General features: G+C 40.1%; 1 protein-coding gene across 11 annotated transcripts in view; it reads right to left on the bottom strand.

Annotated features, from left to right (window-relative positions):
* CREB5 (cAMP responsive element binding protein 5) overlaps window positions 1–20,659 on the bottom strand; it is a 526,574-nt gene that overhangs the window by 330,385 nt on the left and 175,530 nt on the right. For 9 of the 11 annotated variants that reach the window (XM_017012807.2, XM_017012808.2, XM_017012806.2 and 6 more), the window contains 2 exons: window positions 7,264–7,335; window positions 511–604 (listed from right to left, as the gene is read on the bottom strand). In XM_017012807.2, coding sequence (XP_016868296.1) covers window positions 511–604; window positions 7,264–7,335 — 166 coding nt within the window. The remainder of the gene's footprint in view (window positions 1–510; window positions 605–7,263; window positions 7,336–20,659) is intronic. The other 2 variants (NM_182899.5, XM_024447005.2) reach the window with 1 other exon arrangement.

Genomic DNA, 20,659 nt, shown 5'->3' with positions numbered 1-20,659 from the left:
AGTGCAGTGGCATGATCTCAGCTCACTGCAACCTCCCCCTCCCGGGTCCAAGCGATTCTCATGCCTCAGCCTCCCGTGTAGCTGGGATTGCAGGTGCATCCCACCATGCCCGGCTAATTTTTGTATTTTTTGTAGAGATGGGGTTTCACCATGTTGACCAGGTTGGTATCACTCGAACTCCTGACCTCAAGTGATCTGCCCACCTCAGCCTCCCAAACTGCTGGGATTACAGGTGTGAGCCATAGCGCCCAGCCAGGTATGTGATTTTTAAAACAACTTATATAGAGCCAAGTTGCATAGTAATACATATTTCATATCTAGAAAATGAGAAGTTGCCGCTCTTCAGTCACTTGGGTGAATATTACCTGATTATATTTCTGCTATACCTTAGAAATGTGTATTTTCAAGGTGCACAATTTACCAGTGGGACTCGCCTACCAAAAGAAGAACAAGTATCTCGCATGGAACAGATCTGATCACCCAAAGCTTCTTTTCCTGATGGCTCCTTACCTGATAACATATTGTCTGTTTTTATTGAAGGAAACTTCAAAGTCATTTCATGTTTGTGCCTATGAATCATCAGATGGTCCTCTGTTGGGAAGCGCTGTCGGACGAATAAAAAAAAAGGGAGGGGAGAAGAGGAGCCATTCAGTTTTAAAAAACATATTTACCATTATTGAGAAAAAGACTTATTTAGCATTGCAAACATGACAGGCAAAACAAAAAAAAAAAAACATTTCGAAAAAGTGTGAAAGCATGAGTAAGTGAAGTTGCAAAGCTTTTTTATGCAAGCAAATGTGCTGGGATGTTCCTTTAAATTACACCCAAATATATGCATTCTAATTTTCATTAAAGTTTACCAAAGGGGTTAACTACAATTGCAGAAAAATCTGGCTGAGTACTGATAATAAGCAGAAAATTTTTGCCTTCTATACCTTCCCTGGGAACTTTTTTTGAAAGCACTCTACTTCTTAGATAGTCCCTGGATATATCCAACTATGCTGATTAATCACTAAACTATATATTTCTTTAGGAGCTATGGGTTTGCACTTTAAACTTTGTATTTAAGGAATAAAACAGGAAGAAGTAAATGAACAATACTGAAGGTATTAAAATAACATATATATACAAAAAAATGAGCTGTGTCCTAATGCCTACCTAAGTAGGCAGCATTTTACAAAAAATAAGTGTTTAAATGAATGCTTATTTGTGGTCATGAAGAATAACTAATAATGGCAGCATGACGAGTTAAAATTTTTCCATTTCTTCTTATACATATGAGAAAACCATGTGCAAAACATGAAAGTGAATTTAGACCTCAGTAGCACTGGAATTTTGCAAAATCATTTGGAACTTTTCAAATGTAGTTAATGTTTTACACAACAGTGTAAAAGTTAAGTCTAAGGTATGATAAGTATGCTAGACATTATCTATGGATTAACCAAAAATAGGAGATATACATGATGAAAGAAGAGAATCGTGATTCAAGTCAGACTTTGGGAAAGAATTACATGCCATGCCTAATTATTTGACATATGTATCTACAAATGTAACTGTGAAATCTGTACAGTATATTTCCATTTATGAAGACCTTGCCCACCTATTATCTGATATTTTTAAATTACACATATGATTTTAGAGTAACATGACAAATTATTTTTAGTATTCTATGTTCTGTACAATGTAATAAACCAATGCTTATTTTTAATTTTCAGGGAATGATATTATGGTTATCAAAAATGCTGCTCCCAAATGTTTTTGGCTGTCTGACTTCTGGTCACATGGTGGGACTGAATTTTCTGGCTCTCTTGTGGTTGCATGAAGCCATGTGACTAGTTCTGCCCATTGAGTAATGAATGAAAGTGACATGTCACCCAGGGGCCAGCATCTAATTCCTGGTGTAAGACACTCTAGCATTCCCCCTTCCCCTTTGTTTTAACATGGCAACTAGCAATATTGGAAATAGTGGCTACCCAATCATCCTAAATCTCTGAGGCATTATGAAAAGCATTTCTGAATTCTAAAGGATTATGAAGAACTTCCTGCCAATCTACAATAGAAATGTATCCTTGGGGAATAGAAATAAGCCTTTGTTGCTCTAAGCCACTGAAGCTTTGGGGTAATTTGTTATTATAGCAGATCCTAGCCTATCCTGCCTCAGACTGGTATGTTTGTAGTAACTGAACTTAACAGAATATCCGCTTTATCAATGTCAAATGAAAATACAACAGAGGATGATATATTCTGCTGAACATTTCCAAATCTTCAACAATTTAGAAATCTTTCAGAGCTTTCTAATTCCTCAGGATAGTCAATATAAGTTTTAATTACCTTTGTTTACTAGGGTAGAAATGTTTTCTGCAAATGGCATGGATTTGTATTCATGAGAATGAAGGAATTCCCTGGGCTGAATTATACAAAATATTCTAAAAGTAGCTCTCTGAATAAATATCACTTATTTACTTGTCATTTGTATTATATAAATTGGAAAGCATTGGCTTTTGCAAAACATGGTAATTATGCCAGATTTCTGAATACACTGAAGTTTGCTTTATATGACATGATTTTTTGCTACTGGTTCATCCATTCTTTTGGTCTATAACACTGTGTAATGACTGCACCAAATACATAGCACTACCACGTGTGATTTAGAGACTGAGTTGCCTAGTCTTTCCGTCAAACAACTAATTATAATTTTTGTTTTATATGCGTATATAACACAAATATACTATAAAAATATTATATTTTATATATACACTATATTTTAAATATACTATATTTTATATATATATTTGTATATACAAAAATACACAACATGGTAATAGCCTTCATTTCATATCTATAAGCCATTTTTTGACTTTATAAAATAATAGCCTAAAGTAGGATATGAACCAGAATACTTCTTAAATAACAATTATTTCCATAATACCACATACTGACTATAATTACCTTCCAAGTGAGACAATAAAGGACATCGTGATTTTTTTTAATTCAGCAGGAACATAGCAGCAAATTGCAAATAACAAAAATATACAGTCTGCAATAGAGACAGAGCTGAGAAAGGCCACTGGAATTCAGAACGTGGTTCATTTAGAAGGCAAAGAGAGAGTGAAATTAACACTGAGCTCTGTGAGATTACAAAGGGCAAGAGAAACTCTTCCTTCTGAGACAAAGATAATGTCGAAGAAACGGTAACATAAAAAATCTCCCACGTGGCCACGGTGGCTCACGCCTGTAATCCCAGCACTTTGGGAAGCCGAGGCGGATGGATCACCTGAGGTCAGGAGTTCGAGACCAGCCTGGCCAACATGGCAAAACCCCATTTCTACTAAAAATAAATAAATTAGCCAGGCGTGGTGGCAAGTGCCTGTAATCCTAGCTACTCAGGAGGCTGAGGCAGGAGAATCGCTTGAACCTGGGAAGCAGAGGTTGCAGTCAGCCAAGGTCGTGCCATTGCACTCCAGCCTGGGCGACAAGAGTGCAACACCATCTCAAAACAAAACAAAACGAGACAAAAAACAAAAAAACCTCCCACGTATTATAGGCCATTCCTAACAGAGCTAAGTTTCTTTCCCATGAGGGAAAAGGAGAAAAAAATCATTTCTTCACCCCTAGCACAGTGCAAGCAGTGATAACTTATATTTATTCCCGTTTCCAATTCTCAGTCATCCTGTCTTCTCCATGCAGGTTCCCAGGCTGTAGGACATCCCTAAAGTAAACACCATGGCCACAACAATTGGCTTGACTGTGAGTTTCTAATAACCCAGGAGACCTTTGTGACTGCTGGGTGACTGCTACATTTTCTTAATTCTAACACCTCTTCCATTGAAAAATGCACATATTTTTATAACAGCTTGTCAAGGAAAAAATACACTTCCACATTAAATGAAGACATCGAGTTTTAGAAGCATCTTTACATTTAAATCTGAAGTGGGGGAAGCTTGGAATTGTTCCTTAAAATCAAGAAACTTTGTCAATCCCAATTTCCATGTCTGTCCAACCATTTCCTCAGTCCATTCAGCCTTCTCAAGGAAATGACCTGCTCCTTCACCAAGAAGTTCAAGGTCATTCAAAATGGACTCCCTTCAACCTTAATTAACCACCTCTACTTCAGCATTTTCAAGTCACTTCCTTGAATCTCTTTCCAACCCTTCCTTTCTCAGAGGAATTGGCACCCCCACTCCTCCCCAGGTTTGTCTACACCCTTTATCTTCTGGGGATTAGCCGTGTAAACCAGCATGCTCACCCCTTCTGTCTCACTGGTTTCTTGTTCTTGACAAACTCCAGCTCGGCTATCCTTTAATTTTTAAAAAAACTGTTTCCTTCTCAGGCTACCGTTATATCACTCCGCTTCCCGTCACTGCCTAGTGCTCTTGAAAGAGTTCTCTATGCTTGCCACCTCCGCTTCCTCACCACCCACTCACTCATTAATCCCTTGCAGTTTGGCCTCCGCCCCCGTTCCCCTCTCATAGGTTGCCGGCGAGCACCCAGCTGCCAAAGCCAACAGCCTCTGCCCAGGCCTCTAGCTGTCCCAGCTCTAGCGGTGCCTGACACCAGTGACCACACGTCTGTGGCATTCATTTCTTTCTACCCTGCCTGTTGCCAAAAAGAAGAAGGGTTTACAGCAATACATAAAATAGTTTGGGAGAACATAGATTAGAAGTAGATGATCCCCAAAGACAAGGGATCGAAAAGAAAGGAAGGCTAAAGCCAAAATGCAAATCAGAGGGTAGTCATTCTCAACCAGGGGCAATGTGGGCCCACAGGGGACATTTGGCAATGTCTGGAAACATTTTTGGTCATCACAAGTGGGGAATGCTTCTGGGATCTAGTGGGTAGAGGCCAGGGTTACTGCTAAACGTCGTACAACACACAGGACAGCTACCCAAGACACAGAATTATCCAGCCCCCAAATATTAACGGTGCCAAGCTTGGAAAATTCTGCCATACAGTCTAATGACTAATGTGCAGCTCTCTTCTCTCTGACTTACCTAAATATTAGATATGGCTTACAGCCCCTTCCTTGAAACACTCTCCTCTACTGTCCTACACAACCCTGGAGGTTGCTGGGAATCCTAACTCACCCTGAACCCTCTTTTGCCTTTGCTGGGTCTCTGGAGAGTCCCATTCCATTAAATGCCCCTTCCTTAGTGGAGACTGGCATTTACCTCCCCAAGTAAACTTAATCCCTGTATTATACTCTTCAAGGTGGCCTATGGCCTTCCTTCATGGAAAATTGCAATTGACTAATTAACTGATTTACTGATCATGTGATTATAGACTTGATTCCTAAACTAGAATCTCTGTGAGGACACGGACACATATGTCTTGTGATTACTGTTTCCCCAGAGCAATCAGATTGCCTGACACATAGTAGGCTCCCAAAAAGTGTGTTGAGAAATTTGAGTTGAATCAAACGTAATGTGACATTTTCACCACCAAAGCAAAGCAAACTGCTCAAATTATCTGATTCCCTTTGGCTATCAAGACTTCTCTTCAAAGAAGCTGAATGGGAATCAGCTCTACCTTAGGAATTAAGTTCTAATTTAGTTACTCTAGTAACTTAGTAGAGTGACATTCTGCATCCACAATGAAGAGTCCTGGTCTAGCAGGATTTTTACCAGTTACTTATCACTCTGTTTTTTTCCTAGTGTTTTCTACTTCAAAATCATCTCCAAACCAGTTTGCTTCAAAATAATTTTTGCACTGCTCTTCTTATTTATAAGTTGGAAATAAACATTGACACAAAGCCCCTGGTGAAACTTCTAGAACCTGAGCAAAGGACTCTGGTTGTTCAGTTAGTGGTTGATAACACCAGCAACAATGTCTTTTATTTCTATGGCCTCTTCCTTCCAAAAGGCTCCCAGAATCCTCCATAAACTCTCTAGGGAAGTTAATAAGAAGGGTCCGGCCGGGCGCGGTGGCTCACGCCTGTAATCCCAGCACTTTGGGAGGCCGAGGCAGGCGGATCATGAGGTCAGGAGATCGAGACCATACTGGCTAACAAGGTGAAACCCCGTCTCTACTAAAAATACACAAAAAATTACCCGGGCGTGGTGGCGGGCACCTCTAGTCCCAGCTACTTGGGAGGCTGAGGCAGGAGAATGGCATGAACCCGGGAGGCGGAGCTTGCAGTGAGCAGAGATCGCACCACTGCACTCCAGCCTGGGCGACAGAGCGAGACTCCGTCTCAAAAAAAAAAAAAAAAAAAAAGAAGGGTCCTCAATGAATCCTTCTTATCAAGCTCTCATCTGACTGCTAAGCATTGCTCCATGCTCTACTGCCAACCCCACCACATAAACAGGCAGGAGAGTGAGGGAAAGACTGTAACTCGCCACACCTGAAAGACCCCTGTGCTCTGGGTTCCAAACTTGTCCTATATCCCACAGAATGAAGATCTAGGCATGACAGCAACCACGTGTAGTTATTTTCCAATGACTAGAATGTGGAGACACCCAAAGGGTCAAGAGTAGAAAAAGTCACTGTCACCTTCCAAAGGTAAAGTGCAAAACTCTGATTTTAGGTGATGAATGTTTCTAATTTCTTTCAAAGAGATAGATTCCAATATAATAATAGTAGCAGCAGCAGCAGCAATAGTAGTAACAACAGTGGACAATAATTGAGCTCGTATTGTGTGCAGACCCTATGTTAAACACTCTACCAGCAGTATCTCTTCGAATTCCCACACTAATTCCACTTGATGGAAGCCATCAGAGGCTAAAAGAGATTTAATCCAACACAGCAGGACAATTTATCCTCTTAAAGTTCACATACGTAGGAAAACTGTAGACTCTAGAAGAGTTATAGGGAGTTTGGGGTTTTTTTACTCAAATTGGAAAACAAAACAAAATAAAATTTAACCTATGGTGTTAAGCTATTTCATCAGTAATCTCGAAGCCCAGCCAGTATATTCAAGTGGCTTTTGTAAAAGTAAGCACTCTCCTTCCCTCTTTCTGAAATGATGGCCCTGCATATTTGGTGGGCAGGATACACCTGGCTTGCTTCCAGGAGGAAGTAAAGGGCAGAAATGCCTAACACTGCTACCTTTCAGGGCATAAGAGGGAAGTATTTCAAACCATTCAAAACAGAATATAATGATGGCGATGAAAATGATGATGATCACGATACTGATGGGGAGGGGGACTTTGGTGGTGTCTTGGTAAAGAAGGAAAGCCCAGGGCAGGCATGATTGCCGGGTGAGAGTTGCTTCCCTTTCGGAAAGCAGGCCCTGCATGTCAGAGCAGGGAGGATCCGCACACTCACCTGGGAGCAGCCTGGGGCACTGCAGACAAACGGCCTCTCCTGCTCCAAATTCATCTTGGATTCCTCATAAATCTGAAGGATCAGAGGGAAAGGGAGGAAGGAAAAAGAAATCCATGAATATCTTCTGCTTCTACCTGAGCAACGTGAGAAAGGCAATCACTCAGAGCCCCCTTTCTATGCCAATACCAAAATTAGATGAGCAGAACATTAATGTGAGTGAGCACAGGCCCTGCTTGGCTGTAGTTCTTTGGGCTCACCTAGGCTGGGCTCCTACTGTCCTTTACTCGAGTGCATACTGACTGTACTTGGAAGAAAACTGCTATGGGGAGGTAGCAGCAGAAATCCTCCCTGTGGAAAACCACCTGGTGGGTGTTACTACCAGGAAAGACCACACCTATGCAAGAAGGTTCTCAGGCAAAGTGTACACCAACCCTTGTCCAGTCCTGCTGAAAGCTTTTGGGATTTGCTACTTAGGACAGCAAGAGGAATGGCAATCACTGGGTAACTGCCAGTATGAAAATGCTACCCCTGAGCAACAGGTGAAATGAGACACCCACAACCACCCCAGCAAGCTTCAGCATTCCCAAGGGACTACAAAGTAGCTGTGGCACCAGCTTAGCAAGTGATTCTGGTGGCGAACCGTGGTCCTCAATTCCCTCTTATCTCAGGCATTTGATATGCCTCAACAAAAGTTATCCAAGTACGCAGGAGTAAGTAGAAATCCAAAAATGCCAAAAACATAACGTTGGATATTTCATTAATTTGGCTTTATAAGCTGACTTGAAATTAACAGCAGATTAAGGTTGCTGCCCCTTGATCCAAATACATCATCTGGAATAAGGTAGCTTTCAGGAAAAAAACCTTATAATCAGACAGGCATGGTGGCTCATGCCTGTAATCCCAGCACTTTGGGATGCTGGGGCAGGAGGATCGCTAATGTTGGATCGATAATGTAATCTAATCTGAGGCGGTTGGATCACTAATGTAATCGGCACTGAAGTCAGCAGTTTGAGACCAGCCTGGCCATCATGGTGAAACCCTATCTTTACCCAAAATACAAAAATTAGCCGGGCGTGGTGGTGCACACCTGTAATCCCAGCTACTCTGGAGGCTGGAACAGGAGAGGCGTTTGAACCCAGGAGGCAGAGGTTGCAGTGAGCTGAGATCGCACCATGGCACTCCAGCCTGGGTGACAGAGCAAGACTCCGTCTCAAAAATAAACATCAGACACATGTTAAATTATACTGTAGTCTTTTCTTATGTAGCAGTTCAGTTTTTGTTTGTTTTGTTTTGTTTTTAAATAAAAATAGAGACAAAGTCTTGCTGTATTGCCAGGCTGGTCTCAAACTCCTGAACTCAAGCAATCCTCTCATCTTGGCCTCCCAAAATGCTGGGATTACAAGCATGAGCCACCACACCCTGCTGTAGTTCAATTCTAAGGTGCATACCTTAGGCAAAAATTGAATGTAGTCAAAATTACCTTTGCAAATCCTCCCAAAAGCCAATGTAAGTATAGCATACATGGTTTTGTGGTTACCAATCCACACAGTAACATATATATATATATATATATATAAAATCATAGGAGATACACGTTTAGTTATTTAAGTCACACAATTTAAATAATTTTCTATATCATACCCCCCCTCTTTTTTTTGTACCTTTCTTAGAGTTCGATTTGTACGTTGCTGCTAACAGTATATGGCTCTATTACTGAATTAAAACCTACTACTTCTACTGTGCACACAGGAAGTAATTTGCCTTCTTAAAATGCCACTTGTAGGTGATTCCAATAGGATTCACAAGTCACCTTGGACCCTGAAATAGGAAGTTCTGCTTGGAGTCATAGAATAATCACCCTTTGTCTGAAGGAAGCTTCACTATCTTTCAACCAAAACCAATTATACTGTACTTTGTATATTGTCACAGCTTTCCCCCACAAACACTAATGTTTTTGACAATATTCTTCGGGAAAATATATATATACTTTCACTTTTCTGAAGCACAAAGTGAAAAGACTTGCCTGAGATAACATTGTCAGTCAGATATTTTAAAGCAATATAAAGGAAATTTTAAAATGTAAACCTATTCAAACCACTATTTCTCACAATTATCCAGCTTTCACAGAGCGATGCATTTTCACTCTCCATTTGGCCACCCATGAATACAGTGATTACCATAATTTTATAGCTTTCCTGTATTAAGCATATTGTTCAAAATCCTTTACTGTCTTATATTTAGACACAAATATCTTTGGGATCTTTCTGCTTGCCCTTGTCTGGGGAGTGTTGAGCAATTAAAATAACTTCTCACATTTCACTGTTCATTTGATTTTGCCATCACTGATTGTAGAGCATCTCTCTTCCCCACTGTGAATACTGAGAAGGTACTACTAAGTCTCAAAATAAGAGGTGACTTTAAAGCTGAGAAAATGATTTTGATCCAAGACAAAATAAACAACAGAGTTGTCGGGCTATCCATTAATTAACTACATCTTAGTTTTCTAGTAAATTCGTTTAAATGCTTTCCTGGAACTTCTCTGTCTCTGTAGCTTTCATCTGCCTGACCATTGCCAGATCATTTAATTGCTCCATGCCTAAGGTCCATACCTTAATAAGAGGGGTATAAAGACCAAACTTCAGCAACCGCATTCCTTGTCATATTGGCTATGGGGCCTGGTAGATATTTTCAAATTATGGAGAGATGTCTGTATATTTGTGTGTTGTTTGGAGGGTTTTTTTGGGAAAGTGTTACCGAAACTTCACTCTAATATTAAATATTATCTATTTATAAAATTATAAAATATAAAGTACTATTTTATTTGCCTAAGGTGAGTCTTTCTTGGATGCCACTTAAGAGTTTTAGTTGCTACTGTAGAATGTTATTCTTACCAGGTAACATTAGATGATGTGACAGTAAAATGAGAAAGTTTCATATACGCACATTTATGGCCTACATCTGAAAGTGGTCATTAATGATAACAATTAGATTCATGTCCAAGCAACAGAAATGATCAAGACTGGAAGTGCTACTGCTGAAAGTTTAAAGAGATTCATTAATAAGCCAAAGTAGGGAAGAGATTGACCAAGCCCAGACACTTAAGTATGAGGAAAAAGTATTTTTCTACCGTAATCCCAACTCCATCCCAAGCCCTGGCCTACCAAAGTACTGACATTCCCCAGAAATTCAGGCCCATAATGCTAATACTTTGGCAATTCTGTCCGATATCAACATGGTTTGCCTTATCTTAATTAATGGCTGCATTTGCATATGAGCTACAGCAAATACCTTAGAATTACAGGATGATGCTGGTGCTTGAAGACAACGAAAGGCTCGGCCACATAGATTCTACTGTCTTAATTGAGTCTTCATGATGTGGATGATATGTTTAGAGGAATATGAGCAATCTAATCTGTTAGCCACTGAGATATGTCAGTATAAGAAATCATGCCTCAGAAGACACAAGTTGAGAAATACAGTCTGTCCTCAAATCACTTAGAGTTTAGTCATTGATAGGTTCTACTGGGTTACAATTGTTATGTTACTATTTTATTTTACAACATAAGTGAGTCTGTATCAATGTATTACATGCCACGGATCCCATGGACCAAATATGTTTTAGCAACGTAATACTGGAATAAAAGTCTTCAAGTGGAATGGCAGTTGCTAAAATAAGTTTTCAGTGATTAATAAGGTCTGAAGTGAGTGGGTGTGTATTTGTAAGTGTGTGAACTTCAACTGCTTTATTCTGATGCCCTGCAGTTCCCACATTTAGCCCTCTGCAAACAGCATTCTCTTGCTAATTCCTTTCTGTGTAGGTGTTTGCAATAGTTTTTCTAAATGGTACCTCTCTACCATGTAGGCTTTATTACTTTTATCAACGAGTATGATCTGGTCTAGTGTATTAGTCAAGAGCCATGGTTTATTTTTATGGTCTATTATTATGGTTCTTTTCTAGCACATATTGTAATAATTATTCTCTCAAACAGACTCTTATTAAATAAAGCCCTGCATAGATTCTTTAACCATTCATCAGGTGGGGGCAAATTACTCAGACAGGATTTGAACGAGGCTGTTCTCCCTGAGTCCTCATCCTCTCATTTCCCATTCAGTTGTTTTACTGGCTTGGATTTTTTAATGAACCAAGTTTTGCTTGGCAACTGCCATACCCTAGGCTCCACTGCATAGAGCTTACATAGTAGGCATTCAATAAATATTTGTGGAATGGATAATGATCCTGAATCATCACAATACACTGCCCCAAACAGCTTGCCCATTCTCTACTCCTGAGGCAGTGGTTTTCAAACACTGTTTGCCCTGAATCAAATTATTGGTGAGGTAAGTAGTTTTGGGGATCACTCAGTCTACCTGTTGACAGTTATGGCCAGAGAAGAAATCTCTCCAGATTTCATGGAAAAAAGTCAAAGGTGCTTTCAGTAGAAACAATGAGTGAATCTAATTTTATTCAATCTCACAAGTAAATGTATTAATTCATTACAAATTGTCTGTTAATGTTGCCATGGACATTGGCATCATTAAAGTCCAGTCTATTAACCACATGTGGGCTGAGTATGACCCCCATGAAGCAACATTTGAAAGACTCTGAGTAGTCCGATACCTTTGGTTAGACACTGTCATAATTGTGGCAGATGCTGCCTCATCATTTAATATTTTCTAAACGGTACTCATTTTTGTTCCTCTTTTCCAAAATTCAGCATCAACAGTCAACTAGAAAAAAATGCCTCCTGATTTTAATTTCCTTCAAATTTGAGGAAGATAACAAAAAAACTCTGATAACAAATCCTAATAGCACATAAAGTGAGTTGAGGTTTTTCATGGTTGACAAAGAGATGACAAGCTTGATTTACAATTCAAACCCTCGACTGCCACTGGATTCCTCTGGCCTCGCAATGAGCAAGAATCTCTTTCATTGTTCAGTGTCTGACCCCACAAATTCCTGGTCTAAAATGGGAAATCGTCCACAATGTCTCATGCAATCCATTCAAATGCTTTGCCAGCCATTTAGGGATATACTTGGAAATACCATTTCATGAAAGGCAAACACTGCAAAAAGCAAATGATACTGAAACGTGGACAGCCTACACAATATACTGTAAATACCTATTGTAAACTTAAGGGTAACAACTAAGCCCAGAGGGGGGATAAATTGACATCATCTGGTTTGCTGTAATCAGCCAAGAGTGATGTTTGCCCATGTAAATTGTAGAAAGCCATTACTAATCCCTAGTTAACATCAAACTCTAATCTTAGTGGGATGGCACAAGTTTCCTCCATTCACAGCAGATGGACTCATACAGTGATATGGAATTTGCAATAATAAATAGTAAGACACTAAAAGGGCTGTTCTAATCTGAAAGCCTGGCATGTATTCTTATAAATACCAAAAGTTATGGGAACTTCAAACCTACAAACTGAAATCATGAGTATCAGTGAGCACTAACAATATGGCTGTGTCCCTGTCACCTCTGATATTGTTAACCTGGAAATGAATGCATTATAAATCTGAAAGGGGGGCTTGAATTTTATTCGTGATATTGACAACATTTATCAGCATTTATCACTCTCCTGTGAGTGTGGGAAGAGCCTTCTTGGCAGGACTCACACGAAACAGATCTTTCTGCTTTGTTGAGCTTATGAGACCTCAAAAGGTTTCTAGAGGAGGAAACTGGACCTTCCTGAAATACCAAAAACAGCTGGAAAACAGGAGCACCTTGAGTCAGTCACACTGTATGACACTCCACATCAATCCTGCTTTCTTCCTAGGAACAAATGTTGTTTATTAATTATATTAGTTAAGGCCATGGCCAATTTGCACTTCGTGTTTCTGAAACAAAGCAAATATTTATCTCAATACATCTGTCAGAAGGGCAAGGGGACACACACAATAATAACCCAACACACATTCACCAAAAACACACTCTCGATTTATTTTCTTCAAAGATGCCTGGTTCTACTTTCAAAGCAAGGATGCAGGTAGGTTATCCCCACATGTGGCTAGCTGTTGGGAAGGAATTGCATATGCAATTTGGAGCTAAGAATTTCTTTCTTTGGGAGGGATATTGCATCTTTCATTATCTTATTTGCTCATCTGCAAAACAGTGCCATTGTAGTAAAACACTGTAGAACAGGACCATTCAAAGAGGTATTATGTGAAAACATAACTATTGGAAGCTAACTGTAAATTAAGAGAAAAGTAAGTCCTCTGGATTTCAAATATATCTTTATTTTTCAAACCTGAATATTGTAACTTTCCACAGAAAAATAAACACCTTGAATTTCAGTCCAAGAAAATCAATTACTTTGTGTTTGTCTTGGTATCTTTCTGTGTGTCTGTGTGTGTCTCTCTCTCTTTCTGTGGGCATCTTCCCTCTGTCTCTTTGCATGTCTATTTCTCCATGTGTGCCTTTCTCTCCTCTCTTTGTGTGTTTGTCTCCTTATGTCTGTCTGTCTGTCTCACACAGACACATGCATATACTCATTTTATCAGTAGTGTTCTTACCAGCGTTACTGGTGAAAGGATCTTGTGGTCTTGTTTCCTGTTGCAGTGTTATTCTTGAAGCGGGCTGCAGTCAGAATCTGAATTTCATTGGGCTATTATTATTTGCAGCTGTGTGACCTTTTTAACCCTGCTTTAAAAGTGACATTTCAGCCCTCAAGCTTGAAACGCCTGAATGCTACAAGGTTTTCAAACCAGAGATTTACACAGGGAACAAGACCAAGAGTGGGGCTGTACCTTATAAGTGAACATTTCACCAGAACTTGGCGTGAAGAGGGTGTGTTCCTGGGCAGTTTAGAGCCAGTAGTCTCCCCCAGAAGGCCTGAACTTGACACATAACACTGCGGTTAAATATTACTATTCTGTTCAAACCAGAAGAATATCCCTGTTCTTCAAAGATATTTGCCATCCCCTGGTATCCCAAAAGCTCAGAATCCTACAACCTGAATCACAGCCCCCTTTGGGATTGCGTCACACTTTATATTATGCTTAGAGGCTGTCAGAAGTTCCCTTCCAATGAGGCCCACTGCTCCCAGGAGGAAGGATTTCCAAACAGCTTTTGTCTCTGGAAACTAACCCGGGTCTTACTTCCCAGAGGGGGCCGTAACAGGAGAGAGTGCTGGGGGCTCACGTCCTCTCACGTACTTCTGCAGAGGTTTGTGGTTTTATTTATGTGGCGTTTATGCTGTGTATAGGAAAACATTCCAGTGGGATTGGGTTTTCATATGTTAGATTCCTCTTTCTTTCTTTTTTTTAAATTTTCCATATGTTTCTTTAGATAGGAGGTCTTTGTTCAAAGTTACTGGCTAATTCTGATTTTTGTTTCACATAATCCTGTCTTATAGCTTTCCTCTCTATGGGTTCAATAGTTCAGAACATACTTGGTAATAAGCACTTGTGTGAAGCATGAGAGGTGCAATGTTGAGTAAGTCGCTGAATGCGTATGAACCGCATTTAGGTCCTTGTCCCCTTGTTACCATGCAGTACAATATACTTTCTTGCAGAAGACATCACATCTCTAAAACAAAAGTTTATTTGACATGTGTGTGGTTAACAAAATACAAGTGTAGAGATTCTTAGGTTTTGAAGGAAATATTGAATGTAACCAAATAATTTAGCTTGTTTCTAATGGGACTAAACATATAACCTCAGAAAACATGCTGACTGGTGGCAAACTCTCTTCCTTTTTACCTGCTCTCACTGTGCACAAAAAGGAAAGAAAACAAAAAAGAAAAATTAGAACAAAACATAGCCAAGGTTTAGGTCGACCCTGTCATCTCTATTTTTCCAGAAAAGAAAGTATTTCATTGTCATTTAAAATAACTGCCCCCATGAACTCCTGAGAGAAAAGACTATGATAGCAACGAAATTCAGTGCAAAACTGGATCTATTCTTCATACTGGTGGAAAGCAGCTTGCCTTTTGGAAAATCTAAGAAAAAGGTCAGCAGTATAGTTTTCTCTTCTCCCTTTGTGCCCTACTACAGTAAAATTTGCCTCTTTAGAATTGGAACACGTTCCCAAATGGTACTACTCTGCCTCTAGATAGATACTTTTTAATGCAGTTTGAGTGCATTTGATTTTTAAACAATTTTCATGTAAAATAAATATCTTTAAATATTCTTAAGAGTCACAACTTTTTAGTCTAGTCTTAGTTTTCTTTTCACACATGCAGATGATTTTTATTGGATAATGTGGGGGGGGGGAGGTTTTGGATTTTTATTCTAGATAAGTATCTATATCTTCAGCAACAATATACATTTGGTCCACCCAATGTACGGGCTGAAGTCATACTCAAAACATCTGAAAATGTGTCTTTTTCTGCATGAATGTGAGCTACCACATGTGAGACTGCATCAAGCCCAGTGATGCCCAAGCCAGACCACTCTGCTTTCGGCGAAACCAGGAAGAGACTATTTCATCTTACTATTAACTCCTATGATTACCACTACTGACTTCCTCTTGAAAGACATTTGAGAATGATGGTATCATACTGGGTGCTTTTTTCCCACGACCCCAGCAGAAAGCTGGGGCATTCCCAGGTTGTATTCTAAAGTAGCCAGCAGTTGTGTTCTGAGCCTGAGACAGCTCACGATGTCCGTTGAACACAGGGTAAAAATATACCGAAGCCTTGATTCAGATTCCTCACACATTCTGCTTCAAATGTCAAGTGTGTGAACATTTGACAGTACTAGGAGGTCACTTAAAGGCCATGTTAAGGCAAAAATCTCATGCCATCTGAAGATTCTCTCATCATTCGAACAAGGTTCTCTTTCTAAATGTTAGCAAAAGGCACATTTCATCTGCCTGCCTAGAAAAGGCATCATTTCCTTGGGTGGCCCAGTAAGGGGATTTGGAAATACGTGAAACCAATTATTGTCTGCTATTATTAGAAGGGGGTCACCCTGGCATTTAGTGGGAAGGGGCCTGGGATATGGGATATTCTGCAATGCACAGAATGACTGGTTCTGTGCAACACTGGAGTCTCCTGATCTGATAGCCAATAGTGTGGCTTCTGCAAGAATAATTAGAGTATAAGTACCCACAACTGCCTCGCCCATGCCACCCAGTTTAGGGTAAAAGGCAGATTAAGAATAACACAACAGGATGAGTGAGACAATGAAAACAAAGACCACATACAGAAGAGGAGATGAAAGGAAGGGACTAAGTGCGTCCCCACCTCTTTATACTTTCCCAAGAGCTCTGAAAAACTCGGGCAAAGTTAAGCTTATGACAAGGCCAGATTCAATGCCAATTAAAACTTTATGAATATTCAAAAAAGTATGTGAAATTATCATTCCCTGTCAGTGTGAGGGAGGGCTGGGGTCTGTTGCCAACATTTAAGCTAAGCATAAGCATACCCTTGCAGGTTCAGTCCATAGAGGAGAGAGATGACTAAGCTGGTATCAATTAGGGTGGCTTTTTCTGGGTAAATTATCTGGTTTGGCCACCTACAGCTCCCACTGTCCAGATAACTTAACCTTTATCTACAGCAGTGTTGACTCAACAGTAGCAAAAGAAAGAGTTGCCCCAACATACAAATATATCTCCTACTCCAATGCCTTACCACTTGTGATAATTGCCTTGTTGATTTTCTATTATTACTGAGAGGACAGCTCCATCATAGAGAATGTGTTTTCCTTTCTTTTTTTATACTTAAATAGAAAACATCACAAGCTTCTAAATTCTGCTTTAACGTTGCTGGCACCATTAGCCCTCCGCTCACAGAATACTTATTAGGGAAACTTTTGCCTCTTAACCAGCTTCTCAGTAAGAAAGCTTAATCAGTCCAAAGGAGCAAAAATACACACACATATACATATTTTTTTCTTTTGGCCTGTTTTCTTATTGAGAAGTTTATATATAATATATATAAATATGTATATATATTCACACACTTTACAGGGATCCTTTCATCCTGATAAACAAGCTCAAGACTCAAAACTCATGCCTAGCTCGTATTGTACCATGAGGAGGATACTGATCTCATAAGGAAGCAACTACAAAACTCTTGGCCCACCTTTCTGCACAAGGTTCACCAGAATGAAGGATCATTAAATATGTTTAAAGTGCAGAAATAAGCCGTGTGGGGTTTTGCGGGGTTTGTTTGTTTGTCTGTTTGTTTTGAGACATGGTCTCTCTCTGTCACTCAGGCTGGAGTGATCACAGCTCACTGTGGCCTCAAACTCCAGGGCTCAAGGGACCCTCCCACCTCAGCCTCTCAAATAGTTGGGACACCACAGGTGTGCACCACCACACCCAGCTAATTTTTTACTTTTTGTAGAGATAGGGTCTCCCTGTGTTGCCCAGGCTGGTCTCAAACTCCCGGGCTCAAGCAATCCTGCTGCCTCATCTTCCCAAAGTGCTGGGATTATAGGTGTGAGCCACCATGCCCAGCTAATAAGCTGTGTTTTGGGGGATTCCTAGATTATTTCCATGGACTAGAAAAGTCCTTCATATCTTTCTCAACTTCCTACTAAACAAAGAATCACTCACTAAAGCCTGCAAATCCACTAAAACACTCTGGAAAAAGCACATGGAAGGAAAAGGCCTTTTCCTTGAACCCCACCACCCACGAGAGGTTAACACTGTGCCAGACTCCAATTCATCAAAAGGTCCAAGCCATTAATAAACAAACGCAGGGCCTTCTCTTTTTCTGCCCCAGGGCTCAGGCCCCCAAACAACAGCACCATTTTCGAATCCACACTTCAAATCAGTATGAAAAGGGAAAGAGGATTTCTTTAAATGCCCCTGTGATCCCAAACCTAGGAGCCCTTCCTACGCATGAACGTGGTTTCTTTGCTCAGGGGAGTGTAGATCATATGCTAGGAAAAACCCAGAACCTGGATCCTTCTGAAAGGGAAAGAAAAAAGGGGAAGAGGGTGCAGGCAGCACCCAGTGGGGACGTTGGAGAAGGCCTATGAGACATGCCTATTGAAAGGCTGAAGAAAGGGGAAGGGAAAAGGCCAGCCCCCAAATCCACACTGGGAAATTGTGGCTGCCCTTGATGGGGTATTGTTCACAAACTGCTTCAGGGAAAGTGGCCTGTGGACAGTGATTGATTACCCATCACAGTGAACTTGTTCAAATATGATTCAACTTGGGCACACACCAGGGGCAGAATCAGAAACCAAGGACACAGGTCTCATTCATTCATTTCTTCCCCACATCGTCACTGAGCACCTACCATGCATGAGGCCCCATGCTAGGAGAATGAAGGCTTGGCACAAACAGTTCCTGCCCTCTGGGCAATGATTCTCCAGAAGGAAAGAGAAGTGTACCCAGATGTCTATGGTGGAAAAGCAGAATTTTAATGGCCATAAAGTACTTTTAGTAAAGTGCTTTTGAGAGTTCAGAGGCCATGAGAAAGCAAAACTGTTTCATTAACTACATAAAATATCATATCATCTCCTCTTTCACAGCTAAATATTTCTCATAATAGGATGCCAGTTCAAGCTGCAAACACATATATAACCCCTGGAGCAATCTTTTAATTCTTTCGGAAGTGGGATTTTGTTTGTTTTTTAAATTTAGGCTTTATTTTGCTTTTAATGCTGAAAAGTAAAACTGTATTATTTATGGTAAACCTAATATCGTGATTAGTAAACCAGATTTTATGTTAGAAAAGAAACAATTAAATCTCCTTTGCTCATTAGCTGTGGGATCTTAGGCAAGTTACTTAACTCCTCTGAATATTAATTTTCTCCTATAAAAAGAGACTATAGGTGATATAGATTTTATCTGACTCAGGGATGTTGGGAGGATCAAGTGGGATATTTGGGAAAGCACTTCATAAACTGCAAAGTGCTGTGAAATGTTGGTTGCTGTTTTTATAGTACAATCAACTCGCAGACATGGAGTTGCAGAGATGGCACATGGCACAGAGTTATGTATACATTTGGTGGCATATGTCGAGAGATTGAAGATTCCAAAGGATGTTGAAGGTAATGTTCTTTAAAGAGATCCTGACTTGATGATTCTCTGATAATCCAGCAATTATCAAGCAAATCCTGATCTGCCAACTTTTTACTTGAAGGCTGCCAAGTAGAATTATTTTGTCTTCTATATGATCCCGAGAAGGACCTCGGAGACAGGTCTGTGTTCCAACTTGGCTCTGCCACATACCAGCCAACCTATAAGCTTGGGTAGGTTTGGTCTGTTCGTTTGTTTTTCATTCCACTGCGTTGGGCTCTTTTACAACAATGACAATACCTACTTCTCACAGTTGTTATAAAAGTTAAATAACTGCCAGACTAAGACGGGTTTAATAGGTCACTTGACTCTGGGGTGAAGTTTGGCTGTTGGTGGCTGAGCAAGCCAGGGAAGAGGGACTCCTCACCCTGGGCTTGGAGGGGCTGGAGATGGAGCTGCACGTGTCTGTTTTCCTTCCTGAAAACAGCTCCTAGCCATAGAATGCAAGTAAAGTGCTTTGCTGGCAAGGCCACGTCCCCATATGTGCCTGGCTACCCTGTCCCTGCAATCTGAACCCCAGCCAGGCAGGAAGAAAGGAGAGTTCAGAAGACACCTGGATAAGATGAGAAACTCAGCCTTCTTATCAGTAGGTGCTTTAGGTTTACCTGGAGGCATGGGAAATAAGACTGACACAGATTGTGACACCCTCTTTATACCCACTCTCCACTTGAACTATTAAAAAAAAAGCCAAATCTTCTTTTCATTATTACATTTTCCTTAGTACACTACATTTTCTTAATCTTAACACTTATTCTTATTTTCACTCTTCCTTATTTTTTTTTCTTTCTCTCCCTTTATTCCCCAAATAGCCCATGTGATATTTAATTTTAAAAATGCTACTTTTTCTAAAAAATAGAGATGGGGTCTCACTATGTTACCCAGAAGGCTCTTGAACTCCTGGACTCAAGCAATCCTCCCACCTCAGCCTCCCAAACTGCTGGGATTATAGGCATGAGCCACCACGCCTAGCCTAAAAAAAAAAAAAAAAAAAAAAAAAAAAAAAAAAAAAGAAACTTCTGAATAACGCATGAAGTGTTAGTTAGCTGTGAAAAAAAGGAAGTCATAATATAATCAATGATCTGGTCATTTCAGCCTCTTGAGAAAATGGAGAGATGACGTCTCCATAATAGCAACATTTCCTAACTTGGGGCACCGGGGAGTTAAAGATGAATAATCCAATACCTCTGTCCCTAAAATCTGGTCACCTCCCAATGCAGAAAGGTTTATATATGTGGAAAGCCTAACAGATTTTGAATTTTTTAATGCTTGGGAGTAGTCAAAATTTTATTTAATGAAAACATATCTTTCACATACCATCACATCCTATGTGTCAGGCGTTTTTAATCTCAAAGAAGTGTTTTCCTTCAAGGCTGAAAGAAAGCCTTGATTAGACAGAGCTTTGATTTATA

This window comes from Homo sapiens, chromosome 7 (assembly GCF_000001405.40).
Source record: "Homo sapiens chromosome 7, GRCh38.p14 Primary Assembly".
NCBI lineage: Eukaryota > Metazoa > Chordata > Mammalia > Primates > Hominidae > Homo > Homo sapiens.
The sequence above is the reverse complement of the archived record's forward strand: the minus strand, read 5'-3'. Positions and strand labels throughout refer to the sequence as shown.